Source organism: Homo sapiens, chromosome 19 (genome assembly GCF_000001405.40).
Source record: "Homo sapiens chromosome 19, GRCh38.p14 Primary Assembly".
NCBI classification, from domain to species: domain Eukaryota; kingdom Metazoa; phylum Chordata; class Mammalia; order Primates; family Hominidae; genus Homo; species Homo sapiens.
The window spans coordinates 37,488,978-37,507,536 of NC_000019.10; the positions used below are offsets into that span (position 1 = coordinate 37,488,978).

At 42.7% G+C, this 18,559-nt stretch overlaps 1 protein-coding gene and 1 long non-coding RNA gene across 13 annotated transcripts in view, besides 3 other annotated features; one reads left to right on the forward strand and one right to left on the reverse strand.

The window, feature by feature from the left end:
• Positions 1-8,181: 8,181 nt before the first annotated feature.
• ZNF793-AS1 (ZNF793 antisense RNA 1) lies at positions 8,182-18,110 on the reverse strand. The gene is given in 3 exon segments (NR_110723.1): positions 8,182-8,615; positions 16,869-17,063; positions 17,862-18,110. It is a non-coding gene; the product is annotated as a ZNF793 antisense RNA 1 (long non-coding RNA).
• Positions 16,880-17,671: an enhancer, noted in NCBI's record as "NANOG-H3K27ac-H3K4me1 hESC enhancer chr19:37996759-37997550 (GRCh37/hg19 assembly coordinates)". NCBI's record gives its function as "activates a minimal SCP1, AML or CMV promoter by ChIP-STARR-seq in naive and primed H9 embryonic stem cells {active_cell/tissue: H9 hESC(naive and primed)}" and the evidence as "EXISTENCE:reporter gene assay evidence [ECO:0000049][PMID:30033119]".
• ZNF793 (zinc finger protein 793) overlaps positions 17,451-18,559 on the forward strand; it is a 36,906-nt gene continuing 35,797 nt past the window's right edge. For 3 of the 12 annotated variants that reach the window (XM_047438815.1, XM_006723213.4, XM_047438822.1), the window contains exon 1: positions 17,962-18,330. The gene's annotated coding sequence lies outside the window, so the exon portion shown is untranslated. Of the gene's footprint in view, positions 17,571-17,961; positions 18,331-18,559 lie in introns of those variants that run through there. The other 9 variants (XM_047438817.1, XM_047438813.1, XM_047438818.1 and 6 more) reach the window with 4 other exon arrangements.
• Positions 17,672-18,463: an enhancer, noted in NCBI's record as "NANOG-H3K27ac-H3K4me1 hESC enhancer chr19:37997551-37998342 (GRCh37/hg19 assembly coordinates)". NCBI's record gives its function as "activates a minimal SCP1, AML or CMV promoter by ChIP-STARR-seq in primed H9 embryonic stem cells {active_cell/tissue: H9 hESC(primed)}" and the evidence as "EXISTENCE:reporter gene assay evidence [ECO:0000049][PMID:30033119]".
• Positions 18,029-18,178: an enhancer, noted in NCBI's record as "active region_14549". NCBI's record gives its function as "activates an Ori minimal core promoter by ATAC-STARR-seq in GM12878 lymphoblastoid cells {active_cell/tissue: GM12878}" and the evidence as "EXISTENCE:reporter gene assay evidence [ECO:0000049][PMID:35858748]".

An 18,559-nucleotide genomic window follows, 5' to 3' on the forward strand; every position in this document is an offset into this window, starting at 1 on the left:
ACTTTTTTACTATTCCCAAGGTGTGCCACTGGTATTCCTGTATCCACCATTTTCTTCAGAAAGAAGCTTATATATGGTCTATTTGCAGAGGCAACCATTGTTAACAATTTTAAGACTATCTTTCCATGTTTGACTCATTTGAGAATGACGTTTTATGCTAAGGGTTTTATAAGCCTAATTTTCCCATCATCATTCTTATTGTTTTCAGGACCCCATTGTATATGCACCATGATTTGTTAATTTCCCTTTGTGTACTAAGTGTCCAGAATTTTTGTGGGCCAATTACTATCCTTTCTGAACTCAATTTTCTCAGATGTTAAAGGGAGGTAATTCTTTGTTTTAGAACTGTTACATGCATTTGTCATAATACATGTTAAATTTACAGCAGTATTTAGTAAAAGTTATTATTTTATAAAATATACTGGGGGTTGTGAAAGGAAACAGGAAGGGAAATGGCATGAGGCTGTTACAGTAGAAGCAAGCGGTAGAGACAGAAATTTACTTCAGATAGGCAGCATACAGAAACAAATACATAGTAACTCTGGATTTTAAAATGGATGCCTAACTTAGTCACTGTGATTATAATCAATATCCAGCAGAATTTGTTGATAGCTTCCCATTTTTATTATATTTTTCTCATTTATAAGTCAATGGAAAAATAAGCAATTAAGAATATCAAGGAAATTGTCTATCACTGTCAAAGAGAGGCTTCAGACATCCATAGCTGAATGGTTGAAAATATCAACAGAAACAGGATGGCAGAGTGAGGAAGAGTGCTTGTCCACCACACTCCAACACACTGAAGTGAAAGTTAAAGCAGTAGATAAAAATTAAAACCCGGCTGGGCGCGGTGGCTCATGCCTATAATTCCAGCACTTTGGGAGGCCAAGGTGGGTGGATCACGAGGTCAGGAGTTCAAGACCAGCCTGGCCAACATGGTGAAACCCCATCTCTACTAAAAATACAAAAATTAGCTGGGCATGGTGGCGTGTGCCTGTAATCCCAGCTACTCGGGAGGCTGAGGCAGGAGAATTGCTTCAACCGCGACCTGGGAGGCAGAGGTAGCAGTGAGCCGAAATTGCGCCACCACACTCCAGCTTGGACAACAGAGCGAGACTCTATCTCAAAAAAAAAAATAAATAAATAAAGCCCTTCTTCTCTTCCCTATTTTGCCTCATTCACTCATTCATATCCTTTAGATAGAGATACTTGTGGAATCTGAGCTATAGCCTAGTGTCTCTTTTTTTTTTTTGAGACGGAGCATTTCTCTGTTGCCCAGGCTGGATACAGTGGCGCTATCTCGGCTCACTGCAACCTCTGCCTCCCCAGTTCAAGCAATTATCCTGCCTCAGCCTCCCGAGCAGCTGGGATTACAGGTGCCCGCCACCATGCCCAGCTAATTTTTGTATTTTTAGTAGAGACAGGGTTTCACCAGTTTGTCCAGGCTGATCTCGAACTCCTGACCTCGTGATCTGCCTGCCTCAGCCTCCCAAAGTGCTGGGATTACAGGCATGAGCCACCGCGCCTGGCCACATAGTGTCTGAAAGTAGTTAAGGAAATAAAAACTGCCTATGTCATATCGTGTGACTGTGCTGTATAAATCCTATGCTCATGAACAGCTCTGAGGTGAGCTGTATTCACCAGGCAGCCAGTTATTGAACATGGATTATAGACTGGCAAGTGGATACAAAAGCTGGTGGGTGTGAAGTGGTACTACTTATGGGTTTTATTTGCATTTCTCTAATGACTGATGATGTTGCACATCCTTTCGTGTGTGTATTGGCCATTTGTATATCTTCTTTGGAAAAGTGATTATTCAAATCCACTTCCAATTTTAAATTGAATTGCCTTTTTATTGTTGAGCTGTAAGAGGTCTTCGTATATTCTGAATACAAGGGCCTTGTCAGATATGCTATTTGCAAACATTTTCTTCCATTTTGTAGACTTTCCTTTCACTTTCTTGATAGTGCCCTTTGAAGCAAAAAATAAAAAACAACTAAAAAAATTGTTAATTTTGATATACTCTAATTTATCTATTTTTTCTTTTCTTGTTTATGCCTTTGGTATCATAGCTAAGAAACTACTAATCTGGCCAGGTGCGGTGACTCACACCTGGAATCCCAGCCCTTTGGGAGGCCATGGCAGGTGGATGGCTTAAGCTCAGGAGTTTGAGACCAGCCTGGGAAACATGGTGAAACCCCGTCTCTATACAAAATACAAAAATTAGCCAGGCATGGTGGCATGTGCCTGTAGCCTGTAGTCTGAACTACTCTGGAGTCTGAGGTAGAAGGATGGTTTGAGCCATGATTGGATAATGGGGGCGGTTTTCCCCATGCTGTTCTCGTGATAGTGAGGGAGTTCTCATGAGATCTGATGGTTTAAAAGCAGCAGTTTCCCCTGCTTTCTCTCTCTCTCTCCTGCCACCTTATAAAGAAGGTGCCTGCTTCCCCTTCACCTTCCACCATAATTGTAAGTTTCCTGACCTTCCAGCCATGCAGAACTGTGAGTCAATTAACCCTCTTGAGTGAAGATATCTCTTTGATATATTGATTTCCTTTTTTGTTTGTTTTGTTTTGTTTTGTTTTTGGATGTCTACCTAGCAGTGAGATGAGATTGCTGGATCGTATGGTAGTTCTATTTTTGTTTTTTTGAGAAATCTCCAGTTTTCTATAATAGCATACTAATTTACATTTCCACCAATGGTGTGTAAGGATTCCCTTTCTTCACATCCTCACCAACACTTGTTATCTTTTGATAATAGGCATTTTAACTGAGGTGAGATAGTATCTCATTGTGGTTTTGATTTGCATTTCCCTGATGATTAGTGATGTTGAGCATTTTTTCATATACCCATTGGCCATTTGTATGTCTCTTTTGAGAAATGTTTACTCGAATCCCTTGCGCATCTTAAAATCAGATTTTTTTGCTATTGTTTAAGTTCCTTATATATTTTGCTTATCCCTTATTGAATGTCTAGTGTATAAATATTTTCACCCTTACTGTAGGTTGTCTCTTCACTCTACTGATTGTTTTCTTTGCTGTGCAGAACCTTTTCAGCTTGATATAATCTCATTTGTCTATTTTTGCTTTTGTCTCCTGAGCTTTTGAGGTCTTACCCAAACAATTTTTGCCCAGACCAATTTGCTGATCACTTCTCCAATGTTTTCTTCTAGCAGTTTTATAGTTTTGGGTCTGCCATTTAAGTCTTTAATCCATTTTGAGTTTATTTTTATGTATGGTGAGAGATAGGGATGTAGTCTCGTTCTTCTGTATATGCATATTCAGTTTTTCCAACACCATTTGTTGAATATAGTGTGCTTTCTTCAATGTATGTTCTTGGCACCTTTATAGAAATGAGTTGGCACTAATTTCACGGATTTATTTCTGGGTTCTCTGTTCAGTTCCATCAGTCTACATATCTGTTTTTATGCCCGTACCATGCTCTTTTGATTATCATAGCTTTGTAGTATATTTTGAAGTCAGGTAGTGTGACACCTCCAGGTTTGTTCTTTTTGCTCAGGATTTCTTTGGCTATTCAAGGTCTTTTGGGGTTCCATAGTGAATTTTATAATTACTTTTAATATTTCTGTGAAAAATGTCATTTATATTTTTATAGGTATTGCATTTAATTGGTAGATTCTTTGGGTAATATGGACATTTTAACAATATTAATTCTTCTAATCCATAGCCATGGAATATCCTTTCATGTTTTGGTGTCCTATTTCTTTCAGCAGTGTTTTGTAGTTTTTATTGTGGAGATTTTTCTCTTCTTTGGTTAAGTTTATTCCTAGGGATTTCATTGTCTTTGTAGCCATTGTAAATGGAACTAACTTCTTGATTTCTTTTTTAGATTGCTTGCTGTTAGCATAGATAAATCCTATTGATTTTTGTGTGTTCATTGTGTATCCTGGAACTTTACTGTTTATAGTTCTAAGAGTTTTTTGGTGGAATCTTCAGGTTTTTCTAAATATAAGATCATTTCATCTGCAAACAAGGACAATTTGATTACTTTCCTTCTAATTTGGGTGTCCTTTATTTCATTCTCTTGCTTAATTGCCCTGGGTAGGACTTCCAGTATTATGTTGAATAAAAGTGGTAAAAATGGGCCGAGCATGGTGGCTCACGCTTGTAATCCCAGCACTTTGGGAGGCTGAGGCAGATGGATCATCTGAGATCAGGAGTTCGAGACCAGCCTGACCAACATGGAGAAACCCCATCTCTACTAAAAAATACAAAATTAGCTGGCATGGTAGCGCATGCCTGTAATCCCAGCTATTCAGGAGGCTGAGGCAGGAGAATCACTTGAACCCGGGAAGTGGAGGTTGTAGTGAGCTGAGATTGTGCCATTGCACTCCTGCCTGGGCAACAAGAGTGAAACTCTGTTTAAAAAAAAAAAAAAAAAGTAAAAATGGCGTCTTTGTCTTGTTCCAGTCCTTAGAGGAAAGGCTTTTAATTTTTCCTGTTCAGTATAATAGCTTTGGGATTATGAAGCCCCTCCCTTCTTAAGGGGTCACCTTTTTAAAAACAAGAGGACTACACCACCACCCAACCACAAAAACCTCCTGAGGAACTCATTTAGACTGACAAGAGGTGCAGAAAGAGGTTAAATAAGGTGCTTATAACTCCTTTTTCTCCTTCCCCTAATGATAGCACCTAACTGAACACAGTCCATTCATGCAGAAAAGGAGAGTAATTTGAGGATGGTATTGTTAACTAAAACCGTAGCCTTTATGGAAAATTCACCACTCTTGCACAAACATCCAGGATCCACATGGCTATTGGGAGTGATTTCTCCTGCATTGCCTCCAGCCTTTCCTAACATGTCCTTCTCTCTTTGTCTTTCATATCTGTGATGGAGCTTCATTCATGTGTGTGTATTCCTCTGTTTCTGTGTGTCTTTTGAACAAGTAAGGTTTTGCAATTAAAGAATGACTGAGGCCAGGCGTGGTGGCTTATGCCTGTAATCCCAGCACTTTGGGAGGCCAAGGCAGGTGGATCACTTGAGGTCAGGAGTTTGTTTTTTTTTTTTTTTTTTTTTGAGACGGAGTCTTGCTGTGTCGCCCAGGCTGGAGTGCAGTGGCACGATCTCAGCTCACTGCAATCTCCGCCTCCTGGGTTCACGCCATTCTCCTGCCTCAGCCTCCTGAGTAGCTGGAACTACAGGTGCCCACCACCACGCCCGGCTAATTTTTTGTATTTTTAGTAGAGACGGGGTTTCACTGTGTTAGCCAGGATGGTCTCGATCTCCTGACCTTGTGATTCGCCTGCCTCGGCCCCCCAAAGTGCTGGGATTACAGGCATGAGCCACCGTGCCCAGCCCTGGCCAATATGGTGAAACCCTGTCTCTACTAAAAATACAAAAAACTTAGCCGAGTGTGATGGTGGGTGCCTATATTCCCAGCTACTTGGGAGGCTGAGACAGGAAAATTGCTTGAACCTGAGAGGTGGAGGTTGCAGTGAGCTGAGATCACGTCACTGCACTCCAGCCTGGGCGATAGGGCGAGATTCTGTCTCAAAACAAAACAAAACATATATCCAACCACAGCCATCCCTGGCCTTCTAATTCATGTTGTCTGTTATTTCATCTGTACTTTCCCTTTTATTCTTTTTTTTTTTTTCTGTGCTTGGATGCCAACTTTATTTGTGGTCAATATAACTTAGAGTCTTCATTTTCCATTTTTGTATATATTCTGTTAATCTATGGTATCATCTACCAAGTCTTCTGCCTTAAAAAACTCACAGAGATCATTTCCTTTTTGTAACTCATCCTCTACTCTCTTCATTCAATTAGTTACATGTTGTACACATGTACCTTAAAACTTAAAGTATAATAAAAAATAAAAAAAGAAAAAAAAAGAAAAGTAAATTATGTCATTCAATGATCCAATGAGAGACTACTGCAATGACAAAATAGTTGGTTTGGAGAGAGTTTTCTGGAGTCCAGTCCTTTTTATTCTTTTTAAGTAGAGACAAGGTTTCACCATGTTGCCCAGGCTGGCCTTAAACTCCTGGACTCAAGCAATCTGCCCCCTTTGGCCTCCCAAAGTGCTAGGATTACAGGCGTGAGATGCTGCGTCCAGCCCCTTTTTATTCTTGAGTGATATCCAGTTCTTCTTTCACTGTATGTGACTTCCTAAGAGTGCTAAATCTTCTGGCTTCCACTGATTTCCATTGAGAAGTCCTTTTTTTTTTTTTTTTTTTAAAAAAAACTTTGCAAGCTTCTTTGTTTTTGGTTTCAGCAGATTTCTTCTCATCTTAGTTATGATTTCCTTTTCATTAGCCTTTTAACAAATGTGGTTTTTTTTTTTGAAATGGAGTTTCACTCTTATCGCACAGGCTGGAGTGCAATGGCACGATCTTGGCTCACTGCAACCTCTGCCTCTGGGTTCAAGCAATTCTCCTGCCTCAGCCTCCTGAGGAGCTGGGATTACAGGCGTGCACCACCACACCTGGCTAATTTTTGTATTTTTAGTAGAGACGGGGTTTTACCATGTTGGCCAGGCTGGTCTTGAACTCCTGACCTCATGATCCACCTGCCTCGGCCTCCTCCCAAAGTGCTGGGATTATAGGCATGAGCTACTGCGCCCATCAGAGACATGTTTCTTGAAAGTATGCCCTTGTCAATTAAAAAAAAAAAACCAAATAGCCCAGGAGTTTGAGACCAGTCTGGGCAACATAGAAAGACTCCATCTCTACAAAAAATAAATAAAATTAGCCAGGCATGGCGGGACGTGCTTGTAATCCCAGTCACTTGGGAGGCTGAGGTGGGAGGATCACTTGAGCTCAACAGGTTGAGATTGCAGTGAGCCAAGATGGTGCCACTGCACTCCAGCCTAAGTGACAGAGCAAGACCCTGTCTCAAAAGAAAAAGAAAAGAAAAGAGTAATCCATAGTGAGGATGTTAGGAACTATTATAAAATCATAACTAATGATGGTCAAATGAAATATAAAAATAATAAAAATATATTATTTTCATTTACCAAAAAAGTGTGCCTTCTTTTCATCTACCAGTTTTCTAATCTTCCAGTATTTTCTGCACCTTCTGAATCTCTTTTCCTTCCAGGACCCTGATTTAATAAAAGTAAGACTTAATTATTATATACCTTGTGCCTGTATTAGCTTTTTTCTCCTCATTTTCTCCTGAAACTCTATTACAGAATTCATGTCCTCTTTTCCACTTGATTAACTTTTTGTTCCCTGTGTGTAATCTGATCTTTACATCCATTGTCCTTTTAGTTATTTGAAAGTAATGAAAATCACCATTTGGATTTTTTTTTTTTTTTTTTGACAGAGTTTCACTCTGTCACACAGGCTGGAGTGCAGTGGTGCAATCTCAGCTCACTGCAACCTCCACCTCCTGGGTTCAAACAATTCTCATGCCTCGGCTTCCCAAGTAGCTGGGACTACAGGCACCTGCCACCACACCCGGCTAATTTTTGTATTTTTAGTACAGACTGGGTTTCACCATATTGCCCAGGCTGGTCTTGAACTCCTGATCTCAAGTGACCCACCTGCCTTGGCCCCCTAAAACGCTGGGATTATAGGCATGAGCCACCATGCCTGGCCCATTTTTTTTTTCTACAATAGTTTCAATCCTCTGCCAAAACTAAAATCTTCTATATGTTTTTATATACTAGGTATAGTTATTTTTTATAAGTGCCATATACTTTAAATCAGTTTTATTGTGGTATGAGTTATGTATGTAGTTTAAAATAAAATAGGCCGGGCACAGTGGGTCACGCCTGTAATCCCAGCACTTTGGGAGGCTCAGGCAGGCGGATCACAATGTCAAGAGATCGAGACCATCCTGGCCAACATGGTGAAACCCGGTCTCTACTAAAAATACAAAAATTAGCTGGGTGTGGTGGTGAGTGCCTGTAGTCCTAGCTACTCAGGAGGCTGAGGCAGAAGAATTGCTTGGACCTGGGAGGCAGAGGTTGCATTGAGCCTAGATGGCGCCACTGCACTCCAACCTGGTGATAGAGTAAGACTCCATCTCAATAAATAAATAAAAATAAAATAAAATACATCAATCTTAAGGATGAAGTTTGATGAGGTTGGACAAACAAAACTGAAAGTAGAATATGCCCATAAGAAAAACCTCACACATGAGAATGGGCAGAAACTGGAAAGGCTTTGAGAAACTGTTAATGAAAGCAAAAAGAAAGAACCTTGAAGAAATTTTTTTTCACTGTGTTAATTTATTTAATAACTGACAATTTTATTATTATCACCGTTTTAAAGATGAGACAATTATAGCATAGAAAATTCAAGTAAATGCCCCATAACACCAACCCCTCAACCTGTTTCTTCTTATTTCCTGGACCCTTGGCCATATGCGTGGAATCTGAGAATGGCATCTAGTTGGCTTTAAACTCACACTAATGAAGCTGCAATCTGGAGGTCAGGAAGTTTCTGGAAATTGTTGCTGGTGATGAATTCACTTAGATGCGTACATCTACTGGTCTAGACATCACTCCACTGCTGAAAAAAGGCATCTACCTCCCTTCTTTATCCAAATCTTATTTGAAAGCATATCTTTGGCAGTAACCAGACTGTCTTTAGGTGACTTTTAGCAAGTTGTCTAGGAAGTGAAATTGTTAGGTTTCCAGCCCCTGAAACAAAGGTAAGAGCGCAAAAAGAGGTAGAAATTAGTGCTGATTAGAAATAAACAATATCTACTACCACATATAGAGGACAGAGTGGGAAATAAACCCCATAATCTAAACAGAGGCAACTACTGCAGCTCCTATAAAGACTTTGGAGGCAGGGGTAGGTTCTATGATGCAATGGTATCTACGTGCCAGCAGATAACAAGGGCTAGTTGCAACTGTAATGTATATTCGTATTTCTTGAAGACTCACCATTGTGGGCTAAGAGAAGTTGAATGAGGGCCTCGAACCCAAACCAAAGCAACATCTCTAGTTCAAAGCTACTCTGTTTAGATGAATCTGCTTATACTATCTGTTGTTTCTATTTGATCTCATTCATGTGGTTCTGTTCCCTTGCATGCTGGATATCTGTGACAACTTGCTGGTCACTGTACCTGAAAAATTATTTGTGGATGCTCCCTCAGGCGTAAAGTGCCTCCAGAGTGGGTTCTCATTTACCCCTTCCAGGTATCACCAGTCCAACCCATCTCAAATTGAGTTCATAATGTGAAATTCCTTAATTTACTGAGCTTATGAATCCAAAGCTTCCCATACCTGGTGAAATATAAAAAGGAAAAAAAGAAAAACAGGGCTTTACCCCAGGAAAATCAAACCAGAATTTCTGGAGGTGCCCAAGAATTGGGATTTTAAAAATCTCTTTGGGTGATTTTAAGATGTAGTTAGAATTGAGAACAACCAGGCTGGGCGTGGTGGCTCACGCCTGTAATCCCAGCACTTTGGGAGGCTGAGGCGGGTGGATCACAAGGTCAGGAGTTCGAGACCAGCCTGGCCAATATGGTGAAACCCCGTCTCTACTAAAAATACAAAAATTAGCTGGGCATCGTGGCAGGAACCTGTAGTCCCAGCTACTTGGGAGGCTGAGGCAGGATAATCGCTTGAACCTGAGAGGCAGAGGTTGCAGTGAGCCGAGATCGCACCATTGCACTCCAGCCTGGGCAACAGAGCGAGACTCCGTCTCAAAAAAAAAAAAAAAAAAAAAAGAATTGAGAACAACTGGAGATGAACCGAGTATGGAGATCAGGTCATAAAAAAGGAACCTCTAGACTTAAATATTATTTCCTAATATGATCTTTAATTGTGGTCACTTATAGATAGCATTGACCATAAGCTAACAGACTAGAATCTACTGTTTTTTTCTTTTTCTTTTCACTTTTTAATATAGAAAAAAATCAGACATATATAAAAACAGAGAAAAAATATGAATAGATCATCATGTATTAATTACACCAATTCAGCAATTATCAGCAGTTTGCCAATTTGGTGTTAAGAAAAATTATCAGCTGGGCGCCATGGCTCATGCCTGTAATCCCAACACTTCGGGAGGCCGAGGCAGGCGGATCACCTGAGGTCAGGAGTTCAAAACCAGCCTGGCCGACATGGTGAAATCCAGTCTCTACTAAAAATACAAAAATTAGCCGGGCATGGTGGTGTGTGCCTGTAGTCCCAGCTACTCAGGAGGCTGAGGGAGGAGAATCACTTGAACCTGGGAAGCAGAGGCTGTAGTGAGCCGAAATCGCGCCACTGCACTCCAGCCTGGACAACAGAGTGAGACGCCGTCTCAAATAATAATAATAATAATAAATTATCAAAAACTAGATGTATAGAGCACCTTTGACATACCTAACTCCATCTTAGAAAAAGACTCCATTTCATTTTTCATAGAACACTTTGCCAACAGGATGTTTTGCTTAATAAACAAAAAAAAAGAATAAAGACTGCATCCAACCAGTTAAGGACATGAACAAGCACATTCTTCCATCATCAGTTCTCACCAGAGGACTCTGTGACTATAAAAGATTAGGGCTTCAGCAGCTTGAAACGGCCGTCTTAACTGACACTATCTTGTAGTTACTCATGATAAGAACTTGGCATCTGCTGTGGAAGGCTGTGCCACATCAAAAACTCTTTCTTGCAAGACTGATGGACTGCCTAGTCCAGACTAGGACCTCTTTTGTCTTTGCCCATGGACTGGTTCCTTAACCCTTTCTCCTATCTCTTTTTCCTCTTGATATTAAATGTTACTTTGTTGTAGAATGTTTGACCAAGAATGTTTATATATTAAGTACACTATTGGCCAGGCGCAGTGGCTCACACCTGTAATCCCAGCACTTTGGGAGGTTGAGACAGGCGGATCATGAGGTCAGGAGTTCGAGACCAGCCTGGCCAACATAGTGAAACACCATCTCTACTAAAACTAGAAAAAATTAGCTGGGGATGGTGGTGCCTATACTCCCAGCTACTCGGGAGGCTAAGGCAGGAGAATCACTTGAATCCAGGAGGCAGAGGTTGTGGTGAGCCGATATCACGCCACTGCACTTCAGTTTGGGCAACAGAGTGAGACTCTGACCCCCGCAAAAAAAAAAAAAAAAAAAAAAAAAAAAAAGTACACTATTATATATGCTTTGCAGTATTGACTGACTTCTGGAGTATCTTGAACCTGTGTGCCTGCGGCTCTGCCTCTGGAGTGAAGGGGAAGTACTAAGGAGAATGCCTCCTTGGGAACTCCACATAGCTCATGGCTTTTGTTATTGAACTAGCATCAATAAAAGCCTGACATTGTGGCAAGATACAAGCATGTGTGCCCCTGGATATCTCTAACCTTGCACCACTCATGAAACTAGGAAATAAGGAAAAAATATTATTTTGTTATCCCATATATCTTTGCAAAGTCATACTACAGCACAGTCTAACAAACTGTTCTAGGGACTGGTTTTCCAACACTCAGCACCGTTTACATTTTGGGCCAGATAATCCTTTGTTACAGAGGACTGTTCTCTACAACACAGAGTGGCTGGAAGCATTCTTGGCCTCTTCCCACTAGATGCCAGTAGTATCCTACCCCCATCATTGTGAGAACCAAAATTGTCTTCAGGCATTGCCAAATGTCCCCTGGGGCTTAAAACTGCCCCAGGTTGAGAATTCATTGCTCTGGTGTAATGAACCTTTATTTGATTGACTGTTATTTATTAGGATGTAGGTGGTGTAAAAATAGATGTTAACTTGCAGACAACTGATGCATTTTTCATTTTTCTTTTTTTTTTTTTTTTTTGAGATGTCTCACCCTGTTGCCCAGGCTGGAGTGCAGTGGCGTGATCTGGACTCACTGCAAGCTCCACCTCCTGGGTTCACGCCATTCTCCTGCCTCAGCCTCCCAAGTAGCTGGGACTACAGGCACCCACCACCATGCCTGGCTAATTTTTTGTATTTTTAGTAGAGACGGGGTTTCATCATGTTAGCCAGGATGGTCTCGATCTCCTGACCTCGTGATCTGCCCGCCTCGGCCTCCCAAAGTGCTGGGATTACAGGCGTGAGCCACCGCGCCCAGCAGACAATTGATGCATTTTCATATATTCATCTGGTATAGCTACAAATTGATTCTGTGTGGAAGAAATAACCTTAAAGGTATGGTTTTATTGCCCTGTAGGGATATTAAATAGTTTTATATCTAACTTTGCAATCTTATTCGAAGATTCTATTGTTTTTCACTGAAGATAGGTATATACCTGTTCACTTGGAAATCAATTTCCAATGCCCTTGCTAATAAGTGAAATGAATCTTTGAATATCTGTAAAAGAGTTAAAAATTATAAGTTTTTGAAAATTATACTTTGATACTTGTTTCACCCATTGCCCCGGTGCTCTTCCTGCCTCCACATACTCTGAGGACAGGATGGGCTGTGGCCTCTCCTCATCCCAGGCTACTTCCACGGTCAACCTTGATCCAGGAGATGGTCACATCCCACCCAGATCCAGAGCACCCTACACTCATGCCAAGATACAGCCCTATTGACACTCAGGCCACAGCCTGGGAAAGATGGCAAGACCCCATCTCTACAAAAAAATAAAAATAAAAATAAATTAGCTGGGCATGGTGGTGTGTACCAGTAGTCCCAGCTACTTGGGAGGCTGAGGCAGGGGGATCACTTGAGGCCAGGAGTTCAAGGCTGCAGTGAGCCATGATTGTGCCACTGCACTCTAGCCTGGGCAACAGAGTAAGATCCTGTCTCTAAAAAAAAAAAAAAAAAAAAAACCAAAAAGCCAAACTAAACCAGACAAAACACCAAAAAATAAAAATAAAAAAAAAACAGCAACAAACTGAAGGGGGCCTGCCCCTCCACACCTGTGGGTATTTCTTGCAAGGTGGAGACGAGAGACTGAGAAAAGAAATAAGACACAAAGTATAGAGGAAGAAAAGTGGGCCCAGGGGACCAGCGCTCAGCATACAGAGGACCCGCGCTGGCCCCAGTCTCTGAATTCCCTCAGTATTTATTGATCACTATGTTGACCATCTCGGAGAGGGGCATGTGGCAGGACTATAGGGTAATGGTGGGGAGAGGGTCAGCAGGAAAACGTGAGCAAAGGACTCTGTGTCATAAATAAGTTTAAGGAAAGGTGCTGTGCCTTGATGTGCACGTAGGCCAGATTTATGTTTAACTTTACACGAACATCTCAGTGCAGTAAAGAGTATTGCCACCAGCATGTCTCAGCAACCACAAGGCGGTTTTCTCCTATCTCGGTAAATAGAATGTATGATCAGGTTTTATGAGACATTCCATTCCCAGGGACGAGCAGGAGACAGATGCCTTCCTCTTATCTCAACTGCAAAGAGGGCTTCCTCTTTCACTAATCCTCCTCAGCACAGACCCTTTACGGGTGTCGGGCTGGGGGATGGTCAGGTCTTTCCCTTCCCAGGAGGCCATATCTCAGGCTATCACATGGGAAGAAATCTTGGACAATACCCAGGCTTTCTTGGGCAGAGGTCCCTGTGGCCTTCCTCAGTGTATTGTGTCCCTGGGTACTCGAGACTGGAGATTGGTGATGACTTTTACCAAGCATACTGCCTGCAAACACATTTTTCACAAAGCACATCCTGCACAGCCCTAAATCCATTAAACCTTGAGTCAATACAGCACCTGTTTCTGCAAGCACAGGGTTGGGGCTAGGGTTACAGATTAACAGCATCTCAAGGCAGAAGAATTTCTCTTAGTACAGATCAAAATGAAGTTTCTTATGTCTTCCTTTCTCTACATAAACACAATAACAGTCTGATCTATTTTTCTTTCCCCCACAACAAACAACACTCAGGCCCAGGTAAGGTCCTTTCTGCTCCAGAGCAAGGAAGCGCTGTGCCTCCTTTTAGGCCAAATTTGGGGCCCTGTACCCTTTTAAATGATGACAGTGTCTAGGGCCACCACATTTAGTTCAAGGCTTGGACCTATAGGCATAAGCTCACTGGAACAGGTGAGAGCTGATGGTCACTGCAGGTTGGGTTAGCCCAGAGCCTTGGAGCTAGTCTGCCTAGAGGCTCCTTTCTCGAATTCCTCTGCCTAGAGGAATCACACTGTCATAGGCCATAAATGCTAATGATGACCTTGGCAGGGTCCTATCTTTCTGCAGACTATGATAAAGTTCTGTTACTTCTTTTCTCACTCCCTCTGTTCCCTGGCCCACATCATTACTCAATACTCTGAATAGTATGCTTTTTCTTTTAAAAATGAAGGTATAATTTACATATAATAACACAAATAAGTGTTCACTTTGATGAGTCTTTGACAATTACGTAGGCCCATGAAACTACCACATAAAACAAGACATAGAACATTTTCCTCACCCCCTAAATTATCTTCGAAGTCATAGCCCCAGCCAGGCACAGTGGCTTACGCCTGTAATCCCAGCACTTTGGGAGGCTGAGGCATGCGGATCGCTTGAGGTCAGGAGTTTGAGACCAGCCTGGCTAAGATGGTGAAACGCCATCTCTACTAAAAATACAAAAATTAGCCGGGTGTGATGGCGCATGCCTGTAATCCCAGCTACCTGGGAGGCTGAGGCACGAGAATCACTTGAACCTGGAAGGAGGTTGCAGTGGGCCGAGATGGAGATCTCACCACTGCACTCCAGCCTGGGAGACAGAGTAGAGACTCTGTCTCAGAAAAAAAAAAAAAAAAAAAAAAAATAGCCCCTGGAGTCAACTGCTTTCTGATTTATAACTCAATAGATCTGTTTTGCCTGTTCTTGAGTTTCTCATGACTGGAGTCCTACAGTGTGTACTCTTCTTTTACCTGTTTCCTCTTTCCATGTGTACTCCTTCCCCAATCAAGAGGTCAGCTCCTTGAGTAGCCTCTATTTTTACTCGAGTACTCAGTCTTCTTTTTCCCAATTCAGTTGCTGAGATATATTTAGGTTCTAATAAATTTTGGGTAAAATTTAATAATGATGCTAATGATCCTTTACTTCTGAATAACACAGAAACACCCAGCTCTGAATCCTTGTTGCTTTATTTACTCACTGAATGATTACGGACAGGTCACCTCACCCCCGTGTTGCAGTTTCTTTTGAAGCGTGATGATAACACTATCTTTACAATGTTTGTGGCAGTCTTTAATGTTATTCCAAAATATCGCCAGCTCTTCCCATCCCAGAATTATGGTAGGATTACATGTCTGCTATCACACTCCTGGGTGGCCATGTGACGTCTCAAAGACTAGTGAATGGAAATGACATGTATAGTTTTTGAGGCAGAACGTTTAATTCCCAGCAAAAGACCCTCAAAGGCTGTCTTTCCCTCGGCCTTCATGAGTGACAATTTACCAGTTGTGGCTGCTTTATTGGTCTAATCCTAGAATAAGAACAGCCCTTGAAGTGAGCAGGCCAGTGATCAATCAGGCATTTAATAGGCACTTTATAAATACTCATTTTACTTCAATATTATTATTTTTGTTTTTTTAGAGACAGAGTCTCACCCAGGCTGGAGTGCAATGGCACAATCTTGGCCCACTGAAACCTCCACCTCCTGGGTTCAGTGATTCTCCTACCTCAGCCTCCCGAGCAGCTGGAATTATAGGCGTCCACCATGCCGGCTAATTTTTGTATTTTTAGTAGAGACGGGGTTCCAACATGTTGGCCGGGTTGGTCTTGAACTCCTGACCTCAGGTGATCTGCCCACCTTGGCTTCTCAAAGTGCTGGAATTACATGTGTGAGCTACCATGCCCAGCCTAAATGGTGATTTTAAATTAATTACTATAATCACTTCAAAGTGTTGTCATATAAACCACTTATATTAAATCAAATGAAGCAAGGACCCTTGACCTCTTTGTTAAATTTTAAAAATCTAGCAGAGCCATAGGCCTTTAATTTTTCCATCGCAAGGAAGAAGAGGAAACTGGTAATAATCTCCTCTGACAGAATAATCTCGCAACTTTAGGAACTTTATTTAAAGAATTCAGAAATGGGGTTGGGCGCGGTGGCTCACACCTGTAGTCCCAGCACTTTGGGAGGTCGAGGCAGGCGGATCACCTGAGGTCGGGAGTTCGAGACCAGCCTGACCAACATGGAGAAACCCCGTCTCTACTAAAAATACAAAATTAGCCTGGCGTGGTGGTGCATGCCTGTAATCCCAGCTACTCAGGAGGCTGAGGCAGGAGAATCGCTTGAACCCGGGAGGCAGAGGTTGCGGTGAGCTGAAATTGCACCAATGCACTCCAGCCTAGGCAACAAGAGCGAAACTCCGTCTCAAAAAAAAAAAAAAAGAAGAAATGTCAATTGTAGCATTTTAACACAGCATTGAAGTTATCTACTGATGCATAGCAAATTACCCTAAACTCAGAAGCTTAAAACAACAAACATGTAGTATCTTACACACTTTCTGAGGGTGAGGAATATAGGAGCTGCTATAGCTGAGTGCTTGTGACTGTGTCTCTCACGCAGTTGCAGTCAAACTATTGGCAGGGGCTGCTGTCATCTCAAGGTTTGACTGGGGCTGGGAGATGTGCTTCCAAGGGTGATACACTTGGTTATAGGAAGGCCCCAGCTACTCCCAGGCTATTGGGTGGAGGGCTTAGTTCCTTGCTACCTGGGCCTCTCCATAGGCTGTCTCGGTATCCTCATGACATGGCAACTAACTTCTCTCAAAGTGGGGGCAGCAGCCTTTAAGACAGAACTCAAGGTGCCATTTATTATATTTAATCTCAGCAGTGACATCTATCACTGCTACTGCATTCTATTAGTCTCACAGTCCAACCCTGGTACAATGTGGGAGGGAACTACATAAGAGTGTGAATAGTAGGAGGTAGGAATCATTGGGAAACATTTTGAGGTCAGTTATTGTATCAGTTGCTAGGATGACCAGTTGGAATTAGGATTTTTTTAAAAAGCCATTTTCATAAGACAAGGCAATCTTTTCTAGAGATGTTCCAATACCTGTGATATGCGGAGCACTGCGCTAGGTGGTATTCAAGGCAGGCCTGTAGTGAATGCTGTTGGACCCAGCCACCACCCCTGAGCAATCATATGCAGACCGCTGGCTTCTTAACTGCAGACACCTACAGACTCAGCCTAAGACTTTCCCACGAGGCAGGCTCGAAGTGCTGGAGCTTTAACACCTCTGGAGTGGCCCTAAAACAATTAGGAAGAGAGATGGTGTAGACATATGTAAGCTTCATCGGCCTGGTGGTTGTGAAAACTTGGAAGTGGTTTCTACACAATCCCCCAGAGGTCCCAAGCTGACTGAGCCCTCATTGATCCAGAGCTAATCTGCTCACCTATGCACTGTATATTCGTTCCCATCGCTCCCGTCTCACTTCTCCATCCCCCACCTACCAAATAAACTGCTTGCACTCATTCTTTCCTCAGGTCGGCTTCTCGGGCAAGCCTCCTTAGGTAAAAACCTTGCTTTCAACATTTCCTTTCCATTATGCGCTAAGAACTCTGATCTCTTCCCGCTGCGGCAGCCCCGCCCTTTCCTTGCGGCTCCGCCCTTTCCGTGAAGTCACGCCCGTCCTTAGGCTGTCTCTGTCTCCCTAAGAGCGAGTCTCTTCGCTGCTCTCTAACTCCTAGAGCTGGCTCAGAAAGAGTTTCACATTGCCATAGGGGAGCTCCTAGGAGAGGCTGCACCCATTGCACGTAAGAAGCGGTAAAAATGTACGCGGCCATCTTACCAGGCTGCCGGAGACAAAGAAAGCTCAGCTTTGATGTCTGGGCGCCACCATGTTGGCCACAGGAGGTTTTGGCATCTGAGATGCTGAGTTAAGAGCAGAGACGACATCTCTGTTTAGGGATCCAGGGACACTTCCTTCTCCTTGTCCTAAAATAGCCTTATCTTTTGGTCTAGCAAAGGGCTTAATCATCCGTTTTACGGCACAGTTTTAAACATGGCCGCCCCAGGTAGGAGTCAAGTGGGCGTCGCCATCATACCTCCAATTACAGCTTTGAGAAACCCAGAATCCTGTTCACTGGAAGGTTGCCGGGTGGCGGCTGACAGCCTCAAAGTCGCAATTGAGTCTGCGCACCGGCCATTCAGGATGGGACGACCTTATACCGCGGTGAGGCGGCGTGGCAGGACGACCAATTTCAGATTCAGGGCGCGGATGCAGCATAAATGGGAAGGCACGGTTTGAGAAACGGTCAAACCTGGGACTAGTGGAGGATAGTGAGCTGCCGACTACGGTGGCCGACTGGGTCAGCTATGGGTGCCCGTGAGGGTCAATGACAAGGGAACTGAAGGGTTAAGAGATTCGGCGTCTGAGCCTCGCGGGGCCTCAGTGGTGGCGGACAGAGGTTTGCGGGAGTCAGTGGCACGGTCTCTGAAGAAGATGGATTGGGAGTGTGTGGGAATCAATAAATGCGAGTTCTGTGAAATGTCTTGATTTTCAGGGTGCATGGGGTCAGTAATAGTGGTCTTCATGGGTCTGGGGTCAGTTGGGATTTTTCAGACACTGGTTTAGAGATCTTTAAGGTTAATGATCGGAGCCCGAGAGGATCAGTGATCGGAGGTTCTAAGTTCTGTGGGCAGTAATAGTTTGGGTACTGGAATTGGTGATTGTGGAAACTTTGGGGTTCAAATGAGGGAGGTCAGTGGTGATGAATGTTTGGAGAAATGTTTTGGGCCATCG